We start from the raw sequence: 25427 nt of genomic DNA on the forward strand, positions 1-25427 counted from the left end.
AAGAGAAAGTACATGAGAAAATAGTCAAAGTTAGTTTTAAGAATGCATTTCCTGATGGAGTTTAGAATGATACATCTGGTGGTAAGCTTTCTCATCCTAACTCTTTTCTTTAACCCACAAAGGGTGCTTAACCAAAAGTGGCTAGGCTGATGGTTAGTAGGTAGGACATTTCAACCTCTGGCAAATTTGTCATTGAGCAGCATCAGTAAAAAGGTGGAAGATTCTCCACTATCCTCAAAACTTTTTCAATGACTATAAATCAAATGTAATAAAGAGGCATCTAACCAAAATAAAATTTAAGCTGTTGTGCCTAAGGTGATCCAAATATACATGAAGAGAAATGTATCAACAGATAAATAACTTGAGTTATGAAATAGGGGTTTGGAGTGGAAAAGAGTCAGGTGAGAGGTCAGCTTGAAAACACCAAATGGGGCATTGTAATATTCCTAATCAAATACTCACCTCCCCTCCCCTGCCACAAAAAGTTGAGAATCAATACTGAGTGAACAGCTTCTTTGAAAAGTGAATCTTTCTACAAAGAAGTTCCAAAAGAGAGATAAAAGATCAACTATACACAACATAATCAAAAGCAAGCCCTGTTGTCATGGTAAGGCCTTATATTCATGTGTAGGGTGTCTAAGTAGCACCAGTAATTTGCAAACACATTGATAAAGGCAATAAATAACAATGATATCAAAGGATGCACTTAGACATTTTGGACCCTCTAAGATATGCCAGGCTCTTTATACTTAAATCTACTGGAGTAGCAGTTCTGAAAGTATTTAACGCACAGCTCTTAACCTACTTGGAGAACATGTACTGTTTTGAAATTTGGATGAACTCTTGGGATCTCTAGAAAATGCAGAGCAGGTCACGCCTGTAATCCCAGGACTTTGGGAGGCCGAGGCGGGCGGATCACGAGGTCAGGAGATTGAGACCATCCTGGCTAACATGGTGAAACCCCGACTCTACTAAAAATACAGTAACAAAATTAGCCGGGTGTGGTGGCGGGCGCCTGTAGTCCCAGCTGCTCGGGAGGCTGAGGCAGGAGAATGGCGTGAACCTGGGAGGCGGAGCTTGCAGTGAGCCTAGATTGCGCCACTGCACTTCAGCCGGGGTGACAGAGTGAGACTCCATCTCAAAAAAAAAAAAAAAGAAAAAAGAAAAAGAAAATGTAGAGCAGGTACATAGAGTTTTGCATACAATTTCAGGGAATTCATGAATTTTGTGAATCCCGTTTGCAGACCTAGGTTAAGAATGGAGGCTTAAAGCAAATCGTGCTAGGTAATAAGGACCTTCACGGAATATAATTTTCCTTTCTGAGTAACTGTTGTCAGCCACCTTGTATCACAATACACATGCCCTTTAGTTTTTTCAGGTGGTTTGCCAGCATTTTTCCTCTTTTCCCTTATATTGGTCATCTCATTTTAATTCACATGGTTGCCATATTCCTTAGCCTTTTATGAAGGTAGTTAAGGTAGACTGCTATATTGTTATTTCCCTTCCTTCTCCACAGTGGCTTTAAAGAGTTTATGTGGCCTCTGTGTCAGAACTACTTATTGCATTCAGGATGAGGCTGACAACCCACAACCTGTGAAGACAGACTGGGGAAATCCACCGGAAAAGGTTTTGGAGGGAACTGCAGATTCGTTGTGAGTAACCAGACCCAGCGAGAGCAATGAATTACATAAGCACAAATGAATATGTCTGCATTTTGATAACCCTTCACCCCACCCGCAGCCAGGCACTTAGTCACTCTTTCCTCTGTGTCTCCTTAACGCTATTATACCTCTATTATAGCTCCTATCACTGCACTGGATTTATTTGTTTACGAGTCTGTCTCTCTTACTAGACTATGAGCAATTCCAAGGCAGAGTCCATGACTTATTTATCTCTGTACCTCAACCCAGTGTCTGGGTTAAGAGTGCAGGCTTTGGAGTCAGAGTGTCTGCACTCAAATCCACGTTCTGTACATTTGCGTAAGATCACTTGGGCTAGCTACTTGACTTATCTGAACCTTGGCTTCTCTCTCCTTCCGTTCTCTCTCTTTCTTACGATGCCTCACTTTCCTTTGTGCCTATAAGTGTCACACTAACAAAGCTTATTGTGAAGAATAAATGAAATAATGCTCAGCATAGTGACAGTCATGTAGTAGTGATTCAGTAATTGGTATCTATTATTATATCTATTAATATTACGATTGATTGTTGAATGAAAATTCCTTTCTTTACTATAGTTCACCTGACTGGAAAAAGCCTTTTTTAGCTTAAACTACTAAAGAACACACTTTTCCCCTACCTCTTTCCTTGTCCCCTCTGTCCCTTTGCTATTAATACCCCTCCCCAGTAACATAGTAATTAATATTCTATTTTATTTTTCTCCACTATATTTATTATCATCTGACATTCTATATGCTTATTCATTTATTGTCTAGAATGTGAGCTCTATGAAGGCAGGAGCTTCAGCTCTTTTGTGTTCATTGTGGAATCCCCATTGCCTATGGCAATGCCTAGCATGTGGAACATACTAAACAAACATTTACTGAATGAATGAGTGAATGGGCACTCACAGACACACACACACCACAACACACATAAAACATTCTCATTCTCTGCTGAAGGTGAGCCTCACTGATTGTCGTTAATGTGCGACATTCAATGTACACCATTCTTCACTTTGCCAAATGGGTAATAGAGCAGCTTTTATCTTTATTTCCCTTTCTTTCATGGCTGGGGGATAGAGGGAAAATATTTTTTAATACTGTTGTAAAAACGGAAATTCTTATTGCTTTAATGTCAAAGCCACACCTGTCAGTGGGGACATTGAATGGGAATCATTGGTGGAAGTCCTCCCTGATAAGTGAGCAAAGGGATGCTGGGGAGAGGGTAGATGAGTTCTGAGTTACTCTGTAGAAGTGGTGGTCGTTGAGAAACTTGTTTCTGTCATTTCTGCTCAAAAACTCACAATGACTACTTAGTGTTTACAGAATTAAGTTCAAACTCCTCCACTGTTCTTTCACTGGTGCCTTTTGCTCCAGCCAAACTGGATAATTGACTGTTCTTTTCCCAACTGCTGCTCCCCTCCATATACCCCCTGACACACTTACACACATATTTTTTCAACCACTTTTCCCTTCTACATAGAACCTTTAGCTTCTGTTTTCTAGGTTCCACCTGTCCTTCAAAGTGCAATAGCAACTCTGTCTAGTCATGATATTTCCTCTCATTCCTCTCATCCTCCCTCCCTAAGCCCTGAAGACAGCTGGCTGAGTTATCCTTCCTCAGATTTCTTTAAGAAATCTCACCTCCTCTTTGGGGGTGTTTACCAGCTTTTGCCTCCACTTATCTCTCTCTAGACTTGTCTGCTAAATTATCTCAACAGCCGAGACAGTTCCCTGTTTTTCTATGCATCTCAGGCTAACAGTGAGTGTTTGCGGCAGTGCTTCTGCATGGAGCTGCGTATTTCCATTTTTTTTTTTTTCAGCAGTACAAATAAACTTTAGGCCTTTTCTGATAACATGTTAAATATAAAGTATTTTTCTTATATGGTCAATACAAGTGAATTTCTTTCACCATTCATGCTGTAAAAGGCAGAATAATTAATAATGAAGGTAAATGTAGAGACAGGCTTGCATTTCTTGAGGCTACAGTGAGAAGGGATCAGTTTCTTATAGGGCTTGGCAGGGTATGTCAAGTTGGTGGACCAAAGGGGGCATCTCATTGCTGACTTTGGGAGCTTAAGACTTCACAAGTGGAAAGAAATTAGTAATTGAAATTGGGACTCAGTTGAGGATGCTGGGTAAGTGAACAGTGTTACTCAGGGTGACTTTCAGTTTCTCTTCTTCAAGGTTTCAGGTTGATGCAAGAGACTGTGATAACACTGCCCCCTTCTGTTACTCTAGATTGTTAATCCTGATGACGTCTCAAGTCGGCTTTGATGATCTTGACATGAATTTTTGATTTCTAAGAAATGCTTACTTAAGGCAGAAGAGAAAGGAAATCATATGTTCAATGTGATACACGATTTCATTCTATCAAGTTCTGCCTTTTTATAGTTTGCTTAATCATTACATTTTGTCATGAGGTTTCACTTAATTGCATTATAATGGGAGATTTTAGACCAGGGAACGAATAAAGCGAAGGATTGTAACAAAATCAATTAATTCATCTATTTATTTGTGTTCTAAGGGGTTACATGATTTCTTCTAGTTCCTAGAGCTTTCCTATTTCTTCCCTTGGAAGTTAAAGCAAGCCACTGGTTGAGGCACTGTGGCTTTTTCATTTATGACAGAACCTTTCAGATTTTAAGAGCAGTTGAAGAGCTGTGAATGCTGGTCCTTCACATATCAAAAACCAGCACCACTTTCTATGAATATCACTATTTTTGAAATGATTTATCTCAGAACTTTTGAATGTCTCTGTAACCATTTTTTTCCCTTTCCTTATCAGCCCATTTGTATGGAACTCTAAAGAAGGTGAGGCCAGATAGCAGAGAGCTTTGAATATACACCAAGGACTTTGGAGTTTATTCTATGAGCAGTGGTGAGCCAATTAAGATATCTGGGCAAATAATGGCATCTTTAGAAAGAGGACACTGTTAGCTTTGTGTCAAATGAACTGAGATGTAAAAACTTGAAAGGAGGAAGAACATTAACAGGTCCATATAGAAATACCACCACCTGTACCCCCAAAATCCTTGCTAGCTTTTCCTCATGTATTCTACTTCACTCTGGTCTGAGACATCATCATATATCACTAAATCCCTGTAAATTCTCCCCACTGATCTCCCTACAACTAATTTTGTTTCCCTGACAATCTGTTATCCCCATATCAGCCAAAGTCACCTTTTAAAAAGTAAGCAAACCAGAACATGTCACTTCTAACTTTAAATTCCCAATGACTTCCCATAACACATAGAATGAAATCTGTGGTTTGGTCCCTGCCTACTTCTCAGACCTGCACTCTCACCCTTGCTCATTGGGATCCAACTTGCTGGCTTTCTTGGTTCCTTGAACAAGCCGAGCTTAGTTTCACCTCAGACAGCTGAGCCTTTGCTGTTTCCATTCCACCTGCCTAGAGCACACTGTTCCCAGCATTTCACATAGCTGGCTCCCCTCCCCAGAGTCTCAGCCTGCAGTATCAATCCTCTTCTCCTTGCCCCAAACAAGATTTTTTAAATATTACCTATTCTATTTTATTCATAGCTCATTTCACTATATGAAATGATCTTGCTCATTTATTTGTTTATTTGTTTATGATCTGTGTGTCTGGCCTATAATGGAAGTTCCATGATGGCAAAGAGCTGGTCTACTTTATTCATTTCTGGATCCCCAACACATAGAGCTTATAGCTTAGTGTTGTGCCTGGCTCATGGCTCCATAATTATTTCTTAGTCAAATTTGGGTAAAAGGCAAAGAACAAAGGTACGACAAATGGAAGCGAAGAGAAGAGATATCTGAAAGAAGTATAGTAGAGAAAGTGGGTAGACTTAATTATTGAGTGTTGGGTGCCAATGGAAAGGGAGGGATCAGATGATGGATTTTCACTTGGACTGAGAAACCTGTGATGCTCTTAACACAGAAGGAGAACTTGGAGAAATGAAAAAGATGAGAGTGGAAAACAGATATTTAGCTTAGGACTCGAGTGTAAGGTGCTGGTAGATCTCTGTAAAAATGCCCAGCAGGTGTATGGAAGTTGAGAAGAAAGCAAGGCCAAGCATTTAGGTGTTACAGTCATTTGCATACAGTGAAGATGGTTCACCGAGACTGAATTAGTCAACAAGGGGGAATATTTAGGAAGAAAGAAGAGAACATTAAAAATGTGCAGACTTTCACTCAGATATCCTTGTATATAAAGCACCATGCTGGGACAAGTGACATCTAACAAATGAGGAACAAGCTCTGGAGCTTATGGGGCCAGAGATGGTGACACTGATAACTTGTCAAGTAGAAAATGTGTTATCCATGCGGGAAACATTACAACACTGCCGTATGGTGCTCTTTGACTTATCCAAACCACCTCTCAGTAGGAGGCTCTGCATCCTCAAGGGAGATTTATATGATTGCTCTGTTTCCTTCCCTTCACATCTGTAAGGGGTCCAGAGTAAGGATTGGTCAATGTTAGTGATGTGGCTCTACCCTGAGCTCTTGTGGAGCTAATAATTAGAACAGTTTGGGGAAGGAGAGAATTCATTTTTAAAAAGACACGAAGCAATGTGTTTGTAATAGCAAATGATACATTTGTTGAGCATTTACTATGGGCCAGTTAGTGCACTAAGCATTTAACATGCATTATTTATTTAGTTCTCACAAAACTCTGTATGGGAAGTACAATTATTACCCCTGTTGTACAGATGAGAAAACTGTGGCTCAGATGTATGTAACTTTTTCAGCTGGTAAACAATGGAGGTGGGATTCGACCCCAGGACTCTCTGATCCCAAAGCCCACCCTTTTAACCATGATGCTCTATTGCTTCTCTGTGCAAGAAATAATCATTTTTAGTACTTAAATTGTGTTTTGGTATTTTTTGTGAATACTATGAATTTGTGAATACTAGGTGAACTTAAGGAAAATTTTATTTGCAGTAATGAAAGGTGACCACAAATCCTTCAATGTTGTCATTTTGTGCTGATCAAAAGTAACTTGTTCTTTTATTAGATTTCCTTTGTGTCACACACTTGCCTTAAAGAACTGTTGCTTACACCGTCAGCTTCCCCAGACCCTCAGGATATCCTTAATTACAGGACTCCCTGTGTATCTGAAATAGAAATAGTGCTTGAAATCCTCCTCTACCACCATCCCCCAATTGTTAAACTATAGGCATACCCTGTTAGCATGGGGGAATCTCTTCCTGGAAATTATCACATTAACTACATTGATGCTATATGTGCCTTTGGCCCAAGATTTCTTCTATTTACCTTTCTTATCTTTCTGGGTTGCTGCAAGGCTTATGTTGTCCTTCAAAATCTCAAAGGATTTCTACCAGGCAACAAATGTCTGCTGATCTGGGTTTCTTAGACCACCTCCTTGGGGGCATCTGAGGTTGTTGCAGTGCAGCCTGCTTGCTACCATCCAGCACCTTTCATGATTTTTGCAGAATCTCCAGCACCGTTGCTTGGTCACCTTTTGTCAGCCATCTTGAGCTTCAGTGTTCACTGGCACACAAGGAACCACAGAAAGAGGGAGCTGGTGGAGTCAACAAATGGAGAGGGAAGGGCCACTCAAATGGCTCTTAGTCTTCACTGGCTGAGAACCAAATACAGATTAGCTGTACGGTAGAGTGCTGCAACGGACTTACATTTATATACACATATAAAATATTTCTGAGATCATCAGCACTCTAATGAATCAGCCCTGTCTGGAACAGCTCTAAATGAATTCTAAATGAGTGCCTCTCTGATTTCATACCGAGTAAATGTATAGTAATGCAAAGTGGCACTTTCTTTAGTTCATCAATAATTTATTAATGGGCACTTTGTTCTAGGCATGATGTTTCTTAGAGTTTCAAAAAATGACTTTGCTTTTGGTTGCTCTGTTGCTCTCATAGAACTTTTTCCTCTTCTCTTAACAGCAGTCATCACTTTCTCCTGTGTGCCAGTTGTCTCCAAGTCAGACACAGAGTGTTTTCCCCTATTGGATTATAAGCTTAGTGAAGGTAACACTCATGTTTGATTCACTATTACATTCTCTACAAAGCCTAACATAGTTCCTTGTACAAATAGATACACATAAATATTTGAGTAAATGAATGATAATAAGAGACATGGCCAAAACATTTTAAAGGAGCTCAAAACGTATTTTGCTGGACTCCAGCAATCTTAGCTGTCATTACTATGTGGGGCTCTAGGGAAGGACTCTATGTCGGCTCTGATTGGCCAGTGGCTCTGCAGGTGATCTTATTTTTTTGGAGGGAAGCGAGTTTTTACTATTGTGAAGCACTTTTATTATTGTCAGTGCCTCACAATAATAAAACTCCATCAGTCACTTCCATTGGGCAGTTACTTTTTCTTTCTTTACCCTTATAGGTATAAATGACCTCGGACCAAATGGCAATAAAAGGAAGGTATTTTATTACTGTCTTTGGGGCAAATAAAACATTTATTATTTCTCCATCCCTAGCCCTTTCATCTAATTTTTAATCTTAATTTATAATTGTATTATATGTCCTATCCAGGAGTAATTGCAGCTTCTATGTCCTGTATTATGGCACATCAACAACACAGATGTATGTAACTACTCTCAAGACCTCATTTAAATATATGAAAAATTCAAGAGATTGTTCAAGGGACACCAGGTTGAATCCAGGTTCTATCAGATACATAAATCTTTTTTTGTGTCACTCCATTTGTTCATAGGCATTCTTTTTCCTGATGAATGGCAACCAGATTTATCAGGAAGATATACAACACTGGCTCCATTTCAAACAATTGTCTGATGTCCTCTGGCAGCTATTGGAACTGCACATTGCAATAGTACCAGCCTGTCATTTTGAGAGACCCCTAGGGTAATTGTGAGATGTGCTTGAGGCTCAGATCATTGTCTGTAAAGGTAACATGCAATTTCCTTGGCAGCAGCTGTGCAAATCTGCGTTGTACAGCAAAAAAGGTGATGTTTCCTACCTCATATTTGAATTATGTACTTTGGCCCTTTAAATCTTGTGCCCGGTATGTGTGTCTATGTAGGTCAATCATTATCAGGCATTCTAACTCCATAACCCATCCTACACACATGTTTGGAAAGAATGCAGAGTAACTGATGCATAAAATAGTTGGATTATAATTGTCTGGTACCTTGACAAAATACTTTTTCAGTAAATCATATTTTTCAAGCATATAAGCACTTTTTAAAAAATAAAAACTAGAATTTTATAGTTCTGATGTAAACTTTTATCCTAAAAGCAATGTCTTATTTCTATAAGCTTTTAAATTCTGGAACATAAACATATATATTACTTATCCTTTTGGATTCATGAAGGGTCAGTTCTCTGATGCTCTATTCATAAACATTTCACTTTTCACATTTGGAAACAACATTTCAGGAGTAAAGAAAATTAGATATGCTACACTCTTAGATCACATGCTTGTTATATCCAGATGAAACTTCTGGATACCACTGGCCTAATTGGTGGTTTATTCTTTCATTCATTCATTTGCTTGTTCATTCTCACAACCCTTTGACAAATATATATAGAGTGCTTACTCTGAGCCTGGCACTGAACTGCGATTGGGGATATAGTGGTGATCTATGCTGGATTGTGTTGGTGTTCTTTGTGATGCCAAACCATTGGGTACACAGTGAGCATATTTAATAAAAGAAACTATATGCCCAAATAATTTGGGTGTAGTGAAAAAGGACCTCGGAATCAGACAGGTTTGGTGTGATCCGCTGCTGGTTACTTAACCTCTTGGAGGCTCTTTTATTCTCCCCACAATGCTAACATTTCAGGATTGTTTTAGGAATTAAGATAGAAAATGTATGTGGAATTGCCTGGCAATTGGGTCAGTTAATTTTATTAATTTGTTTGGCCACAGGCACAGACATGAATCTTTTAAGAAACTGGTGTCAGTGAAATTTTGAAACTGGAAACTCTGATCTCTTACTCTTTCAGGAGTGTTTCTTTTAAAGGTTTCTCTTTTTTTCCATTCCAATTTGACCCCACATCGAAGACATGAATACCTCTTTGTAGTAGTGGGTTAAGAGAGGGTGGTTTTCGCAGTCAGCTTATTTCTCTCGGACCTGACCAAATGAAAAGATCCCTGCTAGCATGTAGAACTCAATGTCTGAGAAACAAACTGGAATCAACTACCTTATATTCCTAACCAACAGCTCCATCTGATATGACCCTATCAGCTTTGTAATTGTTTCATTGGGCCATTCTGAGGATTTCGCTCTTGGTTCTGCAATTAAATTAAACAAACATTAATTGAGCATCTCTCAGATGCCAGACCTTGTGCTACCTGCTTGAGGGTACCAAGAATGAAAAATGACCCCTGCCCCATGGATTTCTTGCAAATAATTCAAAAGGGAAGGGAAAAAAGTGGTATTCAGAGCATATCTGCAATTCTCAGCTTTGAGTCCTCGAGTCCTCTAATAAAACAATTCCATTTTGCTCCTTGAGCTAAATCTTTCCATTTGTTATTTGGTGTTTGCCCTTCTTACTTCCTGCTGTTCCCCATCTGCAGATGCCACTGGTAAGATTCATTTCAGCCTAAGAGTATGACATGTTTGGATTTATTTGTGAAAAACGCCTTCTACAAACAATCGCTATACCAAAGTGACTGTGCTGAATCACTGTAAAATGATGTGATCTGTTTTGAATGAGCCAGCCTGTTCATTCACTTTCTTCTATTCATCATCCTTTGAAAGGTGTAGATACTTTCCAAGTTAGAAGCCCTGTTTTTAAATGAACAAATTATCAATCTCCAAGGGCAAATGTGCTTAGAGTTCTGAGTATCACTTTACTTTCTCGTATTCCTCTCCTAGAAGGGAGAGCCAGGCTTTCAGAAAAGGGATCAGTAACATCAACAGCATAAATGAGTAAAGTGTTTGCTCATGATTATATAGCTGGTAAGTACCTCTTTCAAACTCTGTTCTGCCTGATTCTAAAACCTGTTTCTTTTCTTTACAAACAGGATTTTAAAACTCTATTTCCTTAAGTTGCTTCAGGGTATTCCACAAATTCCATTTACACATATATAAAACTATTTAGAAAAAAATTAAAATGCATTCTAAAGACATTTGAGATATTTATTATTGCAAGTTCTGGAAGATTTTTTAAAAAATAAATATTTTTGAACTTAACACCTAAGCTGATTCTGATTTCATTCCACTTGTATCTGTTGCATATTATGGAATGACAACAAAGACGCCTTTTGAAAGATGGGTTCCCTAGGTAGGAGATAAAAGGTTGATAATTACTGGCTTGCAGTTTACACTACTGCTTTACCGAAAGATATATTACATAGTACATAGAGCAGACATAAAGAAGACTCCACCAACATGTGTAATACAATTTAGCTAACAAACATCCCACAGGGAATAACACGACATGGATCAACAGGCTGTAGGTGAAGGACTTCAGGGGAGGCAAAGGTAGGCGTCTTGTTTTTAGGGCTATTCCTAAAATAGTGCATGTGGATTTAGTAAAACCAATTATATGAGAATCGTGCAGCTAATTGTGCAGCTATGTTTTTCATTTGCCAACCCATTTTCAGAAATAAGTATATTTCTGTTGGTTAGGCTTCATGCTGATGAGATCACAGTTTTAAAACACATATGTGGGAGTTGGCTTTACTTGACTTCATGGCCAAATTGTGCACTCCTAACTTTGACCATTTGTTCCAGAACAGCTTCATTTTTTTTTTTTTTTTTTTTTTTTTTTTGAGACAGAGTCTCGCTTTGTCATCAGGCTGGAGTGCAGTGGCAAAATCTTGGCTCATTGCAATCTCCGCCTTCCGGGTTCAAGCGATTCCCCTGATTCAGCCTCCCGTAGCTGGGACTACAAGTGCGTACCATCACACCCGACTAATTTTTTGTATTTTAGTAGAGACAGGGTTTCACCATGTTAGCCAGGATGGTCTCGATCTCCTGATCTCATGATCCGCCCGCTTCTGCCTCCCAAAGTGCTTCCTCGTTTTGAAGACAAATTTAAAATGTGACTTCACATCTGTACCTACTACAGAAATGTATACTTGCGTACACACTCACATACATGCACACCGCAAAAATTTTAGACCCTGTGAATATAGTCAGTAAAGTTGCCTTTATGTCTGAAGAGCAGTACTTTTTTTTCAGAGTAGCATAATTTTTTTTTTTTAAAGATCAAATCTCAAAATTATAGTTCACTTAGAAGAACTTTATCCTGTAGAATTCTGTTCGGAGGCACAATGGTGATACAGACAGCTTTTGCTTTCATTTGTATTTTATGACAGTGGAAATCAGGAGTATTTTCAGGGAGAAACTGTGAGAGAAATGACTTGGCTGAACATCTGCTATGAAGCTTTTATCTGAATCTGAGGCTGCAGTGGATGACCCCGAAGGATCTCCACTCCCAACTTTTAGATTATACAAGTCTAATCCAAATTCTTTCTTGCCAGGCTTTACGTTAACAAGAAAGATCACTGTTTGCTGCCTTCTTCATCTGTTTCTTACATAGCAAATTACTTCCTAGAATGTCTGAAGATTTGACAGCTGTATTTGATCTTTATTTTGTCATTGGCCATGATATCTCTTTAAGGGGAGATGGTTTCATTTTATAGATATGGAAGCAGAGGCCATCTGAGGTTAAATGGTTTGTCAAAATCATACGTGAACTATGTAACACCAAAGGCTAAATACGGCACTAGGGATATTTCTGAAAATAAAAGGCAGTGCCCAAGAATCTATAACTTTGTTTTCTTTTTGAGGTAGGGTCTCACTCTGTTGCCCAGGCTGGTGTGCAGAGGCACCATCATAGCTCATTGCACCCTTAAACTCGAGACTCAAGGTATTCTCCCCCCTCAGCCTCCCAAGTAGCTGGGACTATAGGAATGCACCACCACACCAGGCTAATTTTTCTATTTCTTAATGTATTTTTGTAGAGACAGGGTCTTGCTGTTGCCCAGCGTGGTCTCAAACTCTTGGCCTTAAGCAATCTTCCCACATCATCCTCCCAAAGTGCTGGAATTACAGGTGCGAGCCACCTTACCCAGCCAATGTAACTTTAAATTTTTTCCCCCATTGGTAGGATTTTGAGTTTGTGTGTGCATTTGCATGTGAGTGTTTGAGTCAGAGACTATATGAAATCGGGCTTTGCATCTCAACTACCTAGAAGTGTGCTGGACACAACATAGGCACTTAATAAATCCATGTAGTATAAATGAAAGGTTACCAGGGAAATAATCTTGTCTGGCAAAAGACAGTGGCATTTTCATTTTTAACCACTGCGATACTGATTATTTTCAGTTCCCCACTCTGCCACCCCATCTCCCTCACCAAATCCTGAAATTCCCCCATGAATAATAAATACATTTATAACAAGCAATGGTGTTAACCTGAATTTTCATACTGGAAAGAGTAATGATTTTGGATGTAGAACTCAATTTCTATGTTTGGGCATCTTTTGTAATTTCTTTATGCCTCAATTGGAGTTTAACAACAATGAATACAGATATTTTAAACCACTAGCATGAACACTAATGACATTTATTAAGCACTTGCTAAAAGCCATGGAATGTGCCAGAGAGCTCACATGCATCTTCATATTTAGTCCACGCAACACACCTGCGAGGCAGGTCTTTTTATTGCCACCATACCCTGGCTCAGAGACATGAGTCTCCTGTTCAAAGTCACACAGCCAGCCAGGCAGAACTGGAAGAGGGATAACGACTGACTGTGGTGAGGACTTGATGGTCATCCCTCCATAAACAGCAGCTATTAAGATAATGGTGATAATGCAGGAATCCTTGGGAGCACATAACACGATGAGTGTGCAGCATCTTAGCATAAGTAAGTTTATGAGGTCTGTTTCCTCCCTGATAGCGAAGGCTGTCAGCATGAAAGCTATCTCTGCTTGAGGGCAGAGAAAACTTAAGGATGTGTTAGGAGTGAGAATGTAGAGAGTGATCACATTATTTCAAAATTAAAATAGTCCTTTTGAGAATATACCCTTCAATATTTGGCTGTGCATGTGAAAGCAGGAAACAGAGGCGAAAACATATTTTATCAATTTCACAATTTACCTAACATACGTCTTGATTTGCTATATGCTTGAATATTACAAAGAACAGGATGGAGCATTCTTCCTTGCTCTTCCTCTAAGAGAAATCTGTTGCCGTATGCTGTTCAGCCTTCAGTCCGGGAGTGCCATCCCACAGTGTTTCAGCGGAGAGCTGCCAAGAGAGAATAATAACACTAGCGGTGTTATTTGCTGACACGAAGGCTAGGAATACACTTACAGCCTAGACTTGGCTTCTTGCCTCTTGTTAAGGCACCAAACAGCCGGGCTTACCGACAACTTCCCTGAGACATTCGCTTACTCTAGCACTATTTAAATCTCTTTGTAGAGTGTATTGCTTTATTTCCTTCAAGTCTTTTATCTTTTTAATCTCACCTCTCATTCGTTTTCATCCCTGAGACTAAAGAAACAAGAAGGAGTACAGATCTGGGGATGTTAACCTGAGGTCTATGAACCCCAACATGAATGGGCTTCAGGCCAATCTTGAACCAAACCCCTGATCTCTCAGAAGGTGAGGGAGGCCTAGACCATCTTGCTTTTCTGAGGTTCCATTTAGATTAAAAAGTAGATATGCCCAAATAGAGTTAGCAAAGCAAGTGTTTATTTTTAACTGCTTACTATAATAAACAAACTGTTTTAGCACACAACAATTAACAATATGATGCAATATAATTGTGCAAAACAGGATATTTACAGTGTTTATGAAAAATACCAATTCAAAATGTTTCAGGTGGTATGATCAAATCATGGGTTGCAAGATTAAGGTTGTCTGGTGAATGTTTTCCATTTTTCAATTCTCAGAGTGTGTCTCTGTGAATGTATGTGTAATCTCACTTCAAAAAGAAGTTTCATAGTCAAAATTTGAGGAATTCTGCTTATGTGAATCATCAACTACATGGCCCCCGCACCTGTTCCTCTTTTTACTCAGCCTTTCCTGAGAGGTTCTGCCTTGACAGTGAATGCAAACTTTTATGCTTGTGGATTCATTTCCTAGGTTTTATTAGATTCTCTAAGCAGTCCATTTTCCAAAAAAGGTTAAGAATCTACTTGTCTCAAAAGTAACCTAACCTATAAAACCCAGACCAATGAACAGAACTCCTCATTTTAAAAATTCAGAATATTCTTCTTTTATATTATAAAATCTTTTAACTCTGCAATTTAAAGTAATATTAATACTCTTTTTAAGAGTATTAATATTAATATTAATTCTTGGTGTGCTTTTTAAAAACATGTTTAGTAATCTTGAAATTTGTTGTTTCAAATTTCAAGAAAATGTCTTGCAATTTGTTGTTTCAAAAAAAATCTTGTTTCTTAAACTTGCCGCCTCTCTATTCCTATTCAAGAATATCTAAGGTTAAAATGAGGATGGTTATCCTGAAGAGTCAGTGGTCTAAAGCCCATCCTGTTACTCTGGAATCGTGTGACCCTGAGGAAGTGCTGAACCTCTCTGTTCCTCAGTTCTGCATCTCTAAGAAGAGATAGTTAATTTTCATTCCTCAAGTCCGTTTTAGCTCTAAAAGATTATAATTTTTCTTACTCTGTTTCTCCACCTACTGCCATACTGTCCCTGCAGTGTTTTCATACCTGAGCTCCAAAGCTATCGTCATGACGTTTTGACCTACTCTCTTAGAAATAAAACATTTGCTTACTTTACAACCAAAACCAGTACTTAATAGGTCTGAATTCAGATTTATTTTGTCTTTGACCTGATGTCAACGAAATATTTATTTTGTTGTCATGGTGAGCAGTGCATGCCAAGTAAACTTAGATCACTATAAAAACTTAAAAATAAAAGAAAATCTAAATGTTTTGGCCCTATTAAGTTGCCAGATACAGAGCTGCACTGATAGCTTAGGGCACTAGATGGCGATATAAGTGCATCACATAACAAACATCTTGCTTGGTCCAGCATTAAAATCCTAATGATTGAGGCCAGAACAGGTTAATGCATTAGTTAACGAAACAAAGTCAAATATAATCAGGTGTAGGAATGTTAGCTAACGCTCTGAATATGTTCAGTAACCCAATGCTTATTGAAAGAAAAGATTGTTAAAGTAGAAACTAATTTATCCTACTGTTGAGCGTATCTTCAAGCTAATTTTTTGGGCAAGAGTTGGCAATAAACACGTTTCTCATAAAATGTATATAATTCCTAAGTTCACCTCCATTTTTGTTTTTCACTTTTTAAAAATAGCAATTGTTTGGGATGGCGTGTGCCTCACATATATTATTCATTGACCAAGCACTATATTCTTATCAGGGATGTGAGCCCTAAGACACTGGTGTTTTAAAGGGGAAATGGCCGACTTACTGTAAGCTGTTGGCTGGGCCATTATTGACTGTCAGGCTCAACTGGAAGCACTTTGTTAGTGGATTAGGTTGCCCTGGAAATGCCTTCCTGAAACTCTAATGATGCACTTAAGGGAGCCCTCTGGAACAGGAGTAAAATGTCTTTTAGCAGCAGTGCCTTCCACCAGAGTCCTCTTGGGATGACTTGGGAGGGGCTGGGGGCACGTCCAAAGAGACGCGCAGTAAGGAAACAACCCCAGAAAAAGGTTGCAGGTATCAATTTCTTACAGGTGAGCTAAGATAATGACTTATGGATGTAAACTGTGGGCTTTCTGTGGGTGCCGGTGCTTCACGTCTTCATTTTGAAAGAGCATCATTAATTTCAGAGAGAGTGTTTATGTATCTACCTATTTACATATATATTCATATTTATTTATTTGCTAGGGGTTGTGGTGGCAGGCGGATGAAATAGAAAAGGAAAAAAAGGGAGAATTTGAGTGAATATGGTTTAAATCAAAGGATTAAAAAAAACACTGTGTAGTTTGAACACTGGGGTCATTTGGTGTGCGTGTCTGTGTTTTAAAACAAGCATTAGAGGGATATTTGCCCTTCAGCAGGAAGGAATTCCGTGAACGAGGAGGGGGGAGGGGGGAAGATCTGTAGATTTTTCAAATAAAAAGTCAGTTGTGTTTATCTCACAACTTACCTCTTGGGTAGGGGGCAGGGATTTGCTGTGGGATGGTGATGGAGGTAAAGACAAGGAAGAAGGAAAAGGCCCTTGGAAACTCCAGACTCCAGGACAGGACAGGGAGGGAAGTGGCTGCGCAGCACTGCGTCCCCGCCCCAAGCCCCGCGCGCCTGGCAATCGCGTGCCCACCGCCGGAGCGCGGCGTCCCCGTGCAGTCCTGGCAACCTGTCACCGAGGAGGACGTGACTCGGAGCTGCCTCCGCTTTCTCCAAGCCATATTCCTTTAAGATGATGTAATAGTCATTTCCCTGGATGGTTTCTTGCCTGCACTGCTGAAACAACAGCATCCGAACTGCACTGGGAACTGTGGAACCACCCAGCTCCGCCGCCAGAGAAGCCGGAGCCCCGGGCCCCCCGCCGGCATCTCTGCGCTGCGTTGGCCTCTGGCTCGCACCGGCTCCCACCTGGCTGGGAACATGGGAGTCCGTTTGCCCTTGCCGGCAGGTGGGGTGGCTACCTGGGACCCTAGCAGGGCACATCTCTCCATCTTTCTGCTTCTGGGCTTTCTGAAAAGCTTCTAAGTCCTGGTACCTCTTGCAACTCTCTTCTAAGGATCCTTTCCAAAGATTTCTTTTTCCATTTTTCTTTTCCCCTGGGGAAGCTTTGGTTGAATATTTTCTCTGCTTTACTTCTTCAACCCAACCTCCTCTCATCAGGGCTTAACTTTTTTTGCGACTTGTTTTAACTTAAGATACGGAATGAACACATATGTACCTACATACATACATAAATACAAATAGGCATTTATATAAATGCATATATATAATAGTTATTTTCCAAGAGCACACCTCTCTGGCACTTTTCATTGATACCTCGGTCGTTTACCTGTTTGGGATTTGACAAGATCCAGACTCAGTTTGGCTGTGGATTTTGATTGCTTTACAAATGGTTATTATTATTTTTTTCACAAGAACTGGGTCTCCAGCACTCACTAAGGTAAGCTCTAAGACTTATTGCTTTTCCTGTCCAGCTGAAAAAAAAATTCCCATTTGGAAGTTGAAAATTGCATGTTTCTTTTTAATGTAGACTTACAAGTAAATTGTTTTTCATACTAATTGCTGGAGACAGAGGCTTATAGATAAACATGTAGGCACAAAATAGCATGAGAGAAGCTATGATTTAATTGAAGAATGGCTGAGATCAGTAGTTCCAGAGCTGCTTATGTAAAATAATCTCTCTCTCCCTCCCTCTGTTTTTCCCTCCCTCCCTCTCTCTCTCTCCAGAGGACTCTTTTTCTGACTCATTCCAGGTTTGAGGAAATAATTTTTTCTCTTTTCCTTCAGACGGACATCTGAGTAACTGGGGAATTGGCCTGCCTTGCATGTGAGCTTGATGGAAGATTGGATATAGACGAGTTGATTATATTTTATGAAGTAGCAGCTCACTACCATCCACCATCCAGGGTTTAAACTACTTTTTCAGCATCACTTCACCTGTGGACTCTTATACATTTTGATTTCTTGGGGGAAAAATACTGGGATAAGAGGAGGTCATTTTTTAATAAGTTAGCATCCTTTTCCCTTTCTTACAAGTTGATCCAAAGGATAAGGCTGTGACTCCATTGGATTGCACCTTTAAATCAAAATAGCAGCAGCAGAAGAAAGGGACAATGGCTCTGAGTGGAAACTGTAGTCGTTATTATCCTCGAGAACAAGGGTCCGCAGTTCCCAACTCCTTCCCTGAGGTGGTAGAGCTGAATGTCGGGGGTCAAGTTTATTTTACTCGCCATTCCACATTGATAAGCATCCCTCATTCCCTCCTGTGGAAAATGTTTTCCCCAAAGAGAGACACGGCTAATGATCTAGCCAAGGACTCCAAGGGAAGGTTTTTCATTGACAGAGATGGATTCTTGTTCCGTTATATTCTGGACTATCTCAGGGACAGGCAGGTGGTCCTGCCTGATCACTTTCCAGAAAAAGGAAGACTGAAAAGGGAAGCTGAATACTTCCAGCTCCCAGACTTGGTCAAACTCCTGACCCCCGATGAAATCAAGCAAAGCCCAGATGAATTCTGCCACAGTGACTTTGAAGATGCCTCCCAAGGAAGCGACACAAGAATCTGCCCCCCTTCCTCCCTGCTCCCTGCCGACCGCAAGTGGGGTTTCATTACTGTGGGTTACAGAGGATCCTGCACCTTGGGCAGAGAGGGACAGGCAGATGCCAAGTTTCGGAGAGTTCCCCGGATTTTGGTTTGTGGAAGGATTTCCTTGGCAAAAGAAGTCTTTGGAGAAACTTTGAATGAAAGCAGAGACCCTGATCGAGCCCCAGAAAGATACACCTCCAGATTTTATCTCAAATTCAAGCACCTGGAAAGGGCTTTTGATATGTTGTCAGAGTGTGGATTCCACATGGTGGCCTGTAACTCATCGGTGACAGCATCTTTCATCAACCAATATACAGATGACAAGATCTGGTCAAGCTACACTGAATATGTCTTCTACCGTAAGTACAAAGGGTTGTTTTAATTTTTTATGTGTGTCAATGCTCTTCACAAATGTATATGGTCTGTGTGTTCTCTCCATACCTAAGGAACATGGTTTGGAATTCTTTTTAACTCTTGAGTTGTAGTTAGAGGATTAGAGGTTATAATTCAGCTCTCATGTCTAACCTAAGGCAACTTTTATCCAATGAGGTCACAGAATATTCAAAGGCCTCCAAAATAATAAAATGCAAATGATATTGGTATATGCAATATGTAAAATGGAACAAGCATGTATGTCTTTTTGTTTTTGCCAGATATTGAATTGAGAAAATAAGGTTGATTATTACATCTTGGCTGTTTGTCCACAGGAGCTTGGTATACTCAGTGGGTGAATTACTGCTGTCTATTCATTTAGCTGGACTTTGAGGTCTATTAAGCTGGTTGCTGAAGACTTGCTTTCATCAGGGGCTTTGAAAACACAAATGGATGTTGCAATGAATAATGTGGTCTTGGCTAGATGGCAGTACAGACTGCTGAAAGGCCCCCTGCTCCCCCCAAGTCTAAATTTTGCTTTTAAGGGTTTTACAAATCTGCTGTTTGATTCTGAAGCCTTTTGTACTGAGACCTGAGTTGCACTGCAGACTTAATTAAGCTGAACTTCATTTAAGATCTATGTAAAAGGAACTAGATCCTTCAGAATTGTCAATCACATTTAAACACCTTCAGACAGCTGAGGTGGTAGAATTACTGACATAAAAGGAAGCCAGAGAGGGAAGAAATGAAACAATGATACTGAAGCCTTTTAAGTAAGGGGTTCTTAGAGGTCAGTTCATTTGCTTAAATGAAGATACCCTGCAGATTCCTCATTTTATGATATGGCATTATTCTAAACTATAAACTGTGAGCCATTGATCCCTGAAAGGAAAAGAGTAAATCAGCCTGCACTCTTTGGTACTTGATTTTAACTGCCGATTTTCAACAGGCCCAGGAGTTGGGTGAAGTAAATTCCACAAGAAATATGTTTCCAGTGTTAACATTTGATTTCCTCTATTCTTATTCTAAAACAAATCCAGAATTCAGGATTAAAATATCTAAATTTCTTTAAACATAAAAGTAGGACTGAATTTCTTGGACTGGTTTTTTTCCTTAGTTATGTTTAATCATTTGGCAATGGTGCCGGGAACCTTGGTAGAGAGGCTAGTGGGAAGCCAAGTCATTCTCTACTAAGCTATCACACATTTGGTTAAGACACATGTATTGCATAGCCAGAACAACCTGTGGAAAAAAACGAAATCAGTAATCAGTTCAGGAGTATATTGATGTGCGATAACAAACATCATTTGGTTCATTAATCCTATCTGTGGCCTTTATCTACAATCTATATCTTTCTTTATGCTAGAGCTTAGTGGACAGGTATTGTCTTCTTCCTTTTGGTAAATTTCCCACTAGTGTAGAGATAAGATTCCGGCTTTTTAGCTTTCTATAAAGGAATATGACATTATCTATAATTCTGAAGCAGAAATATCTTCTCCAAACTTTTTGGAGAAGTACATCTTAAAGATAGTTCCAATGCAGCTTTGTAATATTTACCATGTTCTCCGATTTTGAATATTTGAAAACATAGCATCGTAAGAAGCTTCAACCAAATAAATGGAAACATACCAGTTATACCCTCCAAAAAGACCACATTGGATTTATAGTCACTTGCTTACATAAATGAGACCCACACACTGAAATTTATTTGTCTACCAGTGGCATTTCTGTGTTCATCAAAGGCTCATCTGTCCAACACGATTTCCCTTTAGATTTATCTGGACAGGCTCCATTCTCCTGACTATGTCGTTTCTTCTTTCTTTGTTGAATTGCTGAGAGATTGCTGAGGAACAGTTTGTTCTCCATCTCTCCATGGACAGGCTAGCACAAATGCACAGGAACTTCATACCAGCAGCATATATCTTGCAAATGATATACTTCCCCTTTGTACCCACCATCTAGAGCTAAGTGTTAACTCTTCCTCTGTCTTAGGACCAATAAAACTGACAGCTGGCTTTCTAGGGTGCATAACAGCTTCCGTGCAGCTGCTTAGCCATAATTATTTAATTAGAAGCTGCCAACTGTGCCTATATAAGCATTAATTCATCAAGCTGTTGTGCTCGGGTTAATGGGACGAAACCATGGGAGATGCTCTAAAGAAGGGAGTTGGCTGCATGCAAAGATGCTTTTCACAAAGGAACTCAACTTCCTCCTGGGCTTAGGGGGAAATATATATATATATATATTTATATGTGTGTATATATATAAATATATATATATTTATATGTGTATATATATACACATATATATGTGTGTATGTATGTATATATATGTGTGTGTATATATATGTATATATATATATATACAAGCTCCTTAGATCTAAGGAATTAACAATTTAAGCAATCAGTCTTTTTTAATAACACAGGAATAAGGCAGAGTCACTTTGCATGGATCAATATCTCAGTAAAAAATAAACAGCAAGAAATTAGTGCATAGCATGATGGTTCATAATCATGGGGAGAGACTTCTTGTTTCCCTGTTTGCCTATTTTTTCTTCTGAGTCTTCCAAGAAAAATTGGGGAGACCGAAATCTACCTATCAACCATGAATAAGTTAGATTCTTACCTCATTTAAATTTTCATGTGGACCTAGAGTTGATGGTCAATATCAGGTGGTTTTCAGTGTGTGTTTTGTTAGTGTAGAACTATGAACAATGAAAAAGTCAACAGGTATTTGTATGTGCTTAAGAGGCAGGTAAGAAATGTGTTTGTCTACATCACTCACACACCAAAATACAGGTGAAATGCTATGGATTATGATTCACTTATATGCAACTAAAAGAGTTAATATGAGTGATAGAGGAACATAGAAAAGAAACGTCTACCCTAGGGATTGCCTTACAAAGTATTTTAGACATGTCCTTTGCTTTAATTTAAAACAATAAGAAGGTTTCTTTACTACTTTCCCAACCAACTGACTGAATAATTACTTTTCAAGCATTATGTGGAAGGTGAGGTCATAAATATCAGAAAATGCCTTCTTGATTCACCTCTAAATAAAATGAGAACTATGTAATCTGCAAAAGACAAGTCCTGATTTTGAACTAGATACTCAATAACAATTCACATCACTTAGGAACCAAATGACAGGTGCATGGAAATAAATGAACCTTTATTTCCAGAGCCATCTTCTGATGCCTGAGAGAGTGGGAAGATTGTTCTTGGTTGGAGAGAATTATGCACATTTCCATAAGCCTACTCATGAGTGAGTTACTTCAGCCAAATGCCTGAAAGCACTAAGATTTAAAGGCATTTGCCTCTAATAAAGCTGTGATAACGTGACCACACTTAGGGAGGTTAATTCATAGGACACTTATTCTGAAAACATACACTCTGAATTCTATGAATTATGGAAACAGACACACTGATTCATCATCTTTTCAACAAATTGCAGCTTGTAAGTGCATTTTAACCTTTCTTCTCTTTACTTATTTTCCTAAAATTTAGAGTTGCTTCCACAGAAGTCTCTAAATTACCTTTTAGATGCAGTATATATCTTCAGGATTATTGATTAAGATAGGCTGTTGGAAAAAAGTAGATCAAGAAATTATCTTCCATTTATAATTCAGCTGTGTGACCTCGTATTGGGGAGAAATATATGCTTTGGCCACTGTGAATAATTTAGCTAAGCTTGACTTTAACAAGCTTCAATAAGAGCATGTGCCTTCATAAGAAAACAGGTGGAAATGCATCTACCCTAAGATTATTCTAGCCTTTTTTTTCTCCTGGCTACTTGAAAGATACCAGTACAGGTTGAGCATCCCTACTTCAAAAATTCCATGTCCAAAATGATTCAAAATCCAGGACTTCTTGAGCACCAGCATGATGCCACAAGTGGAAAATTCCACATATAAGTACTCAACACAAACTTTGTTTCATGTCCCAAATTATTAAAACTATTGTATACAATTACATTAGGCTATGTGTATAATGTGCATATAAAACATAAATGAATTGCATGTTCAAACTTGAGTCTTAGCCCTAAGATATGTCATTACATATATGCAAATATCATAAAATCTGAAAAAATCCAAAATCTGAAACATGTCCAGTTCAGGCATTTTGAGTAAGGGATATTCAACCTGTAATAATTTCAATTTTTATTACCTATAGAGATATGGTATTGGCACATTCAAAGTGAAACATCAGGGATAGCAGAGTGGCCAAAATCATAAGGTATGTGATGTTTGGTCCTTACACTACCAGCATCTCTCTCTGTGACTTCCTTCTGTTGTCTCACCTTAGCTGCTCCTCTTTCCTTCTGTTTGAGTCATGTCTGCTCTCCAGTTCTTTCTCCCATGCCATAATCAAAGCTCATCAGGAAAAATTCTGCTCTGTCATTATATTTAGAATGCTTTCAAGGCATGATGTTACCTTCCCCAGGGGTATTTGTACATAAGAGCACTTTTAATAGTTGTGGATCAGGCATCCTTTTACCTTGAAGAAAGTGTTCTTAAGATTTGAAGCTTCTTAATTTCTGATGAAAAACAAACCGCAGTTTAAGTATAAGGCTTCATTATGAAGTCAGTTTAGACCCATGCTCAGGCAGATATTGGATAATAAAGGGCAGAAGCAGCAGGCATAATTTTTCTTATTTCTTTAAGATGCTGTGCACTGAGAATTGGGCTTAATAGAACAGTGATTTAAGCATGTTAGTGAAGTATTTTATTATACTGTTTTCACTTCTATGCCAAGCAAGAGCTGTTACCTGAGCCCAGTCCCTTGTAGGAGAAGATTAAAATAGTTTCTTCCTGGGTCTGTGGCATCAGGGAAGGTATTTGGCAGCAAGAATTGTGTCAATGTATGGGTGAAAAGGAGAGGTCTCTGAAGTTGCCCCCAAGTGTTCTGATACATTAAAATATATATGATTGGAAAGAGAAGACCAAATATTTCTAACAGCCTAATGAGGTTGTATCTAATCAAAGAAATTAGAAATGGAAGTAGCTGAGAATGTGCCACAAAGCTCCATCTGGAACACCTCCAAACACAAAACACGGAAAGGAGCGACTACGCATAGGATGAGTGCCAGTCCCATGCATAGAAAGAAGTCTTCCAGAAATGGATAGATGAATGCTCAGTTTCTGCATCATAACGCACTGTTGCTCTTTTTCTTTTGCCTCTGCGATGGCTTTTCTCAAGTATTGTGTTTCTTGGCAAATCAGTTAATTTTTTTTTATTACAGAAATTTTGAAATGTATCCAAATGTAGAGATAATGGCATAATGAACTTTCATGTAACCATCACCCATCTCTAATAATTACCCTTAGCACAGCAAGATCAATCTTGTTTCATCCATATTCCTACTTACTTTCCCTTTTGTCGATGCTGGATTATTTTGAAGCAAATCCCAGACATCAATTCATTTCTTTATCCACAAATGCTATGGTATATATTTCTAAAATATAAATTATTTTTAAAAGCAACATAACATCATTATATGGTATTCTACCATATACCATTATAACATACAAAATTAATAATTCTTTAATATTATCAAATATCTAGTCAGTGTTTAAAGTTTCCTGATTTCTTCACAATGTTTTAAAAGTTGGTTTGAATCAAGATGCAAATGAAATCTACATATTATATTATATTTGTTTGCTAATTTTCTTTTCTCTCATCATTTAAAAAATATTGCATATAACTTATATGCAACAAAGTGGTAAAATGTCCATCTTACATCTCTTTTAATTCCTCCCTTTCTTTCTCTTGCTCTATTCCCTTTTCTCTCTCTCTTTTCCCTTCCCTTCCCTTCTTTCTCTTTCTTTCTTTCTTTCTCTCTCTTTCTTTTTTTCTCTCTCTCTTTCTTTTTCTTTCTCCTCTTTTTTACAACTTACTTGTTTCATGAAATCAAGTTGTCATGTTGAATATCTTGCATTCTGGGTTTTGCTCATCCATCTCTATGATCTCCGTGATATTATGAACACACCCTCCTCAATCCTTATGTTTTTGGTAAGCTCGTTAGATCTAGACTCCAGATTTTAGAGGCCTAATCAAATTCACTCAGTATTTCTGACAAGTTTTCACAGGTGACAGCAAGTTCATTTTACAATTTGCATTGGAGGATTGAAATGCTATATGTTATGGAGGCAAGGTAAGGGCATGTTTTTATTGTTAGCTTTTACATATTTATCATCTGAATCAATAGCTATTGGGTGTATTCT

The 25427-nt window shown here is 38.8% G+C and overlaps 1 protein-coding gene across 7 annotated transcripts in view; it reads left to right on the forward strand.

The window, feature by feature from the left end:
- Window positions 1-25427, forward strand: part of KCTD16 (potassium channel tetramerization domain containing 16) — a 314814-nt gene that overhangs the window by 17483 nt on the left and 271904 nt on the right. For 2 of the 7 annotated variants that reach the window (NM_001370486.1, XM_011537673.3), the window contains exons 1-2: window positions 17036-17686; window positions 18034-19191. In NM_001370486.1, the coding sequence (NP_001357415.1) occupies window positions 18360-19191 (832 nt within the window). In that variant the 5' untranslated portion in view covers window positions 17036-17686; window positions 18034-18359. Of the gene's footprint in view, window positions 1-17035; window positions 17687-17973; window positions 19192-25427 lie in introns of those variants that run through there. The other 5 variants (XM_005268493.3, XM_047417450.1, NM_020768.4 and 2 more) reach the window with 3 other exon arrangements.

The sequence above is a fragment of the Homo sapiens genome, chromosome 5 (genome assembly GCF_000001405.40).
Source record: "Homo sapiens chromosome 5, GRCh38.p14 Primary Assembly".
Taxonomy (NCBI): Eukaryota; Metazoa; Chordata; class Mammalia; order Primates; family Hominidae; genus Homo; species Homo sapiens.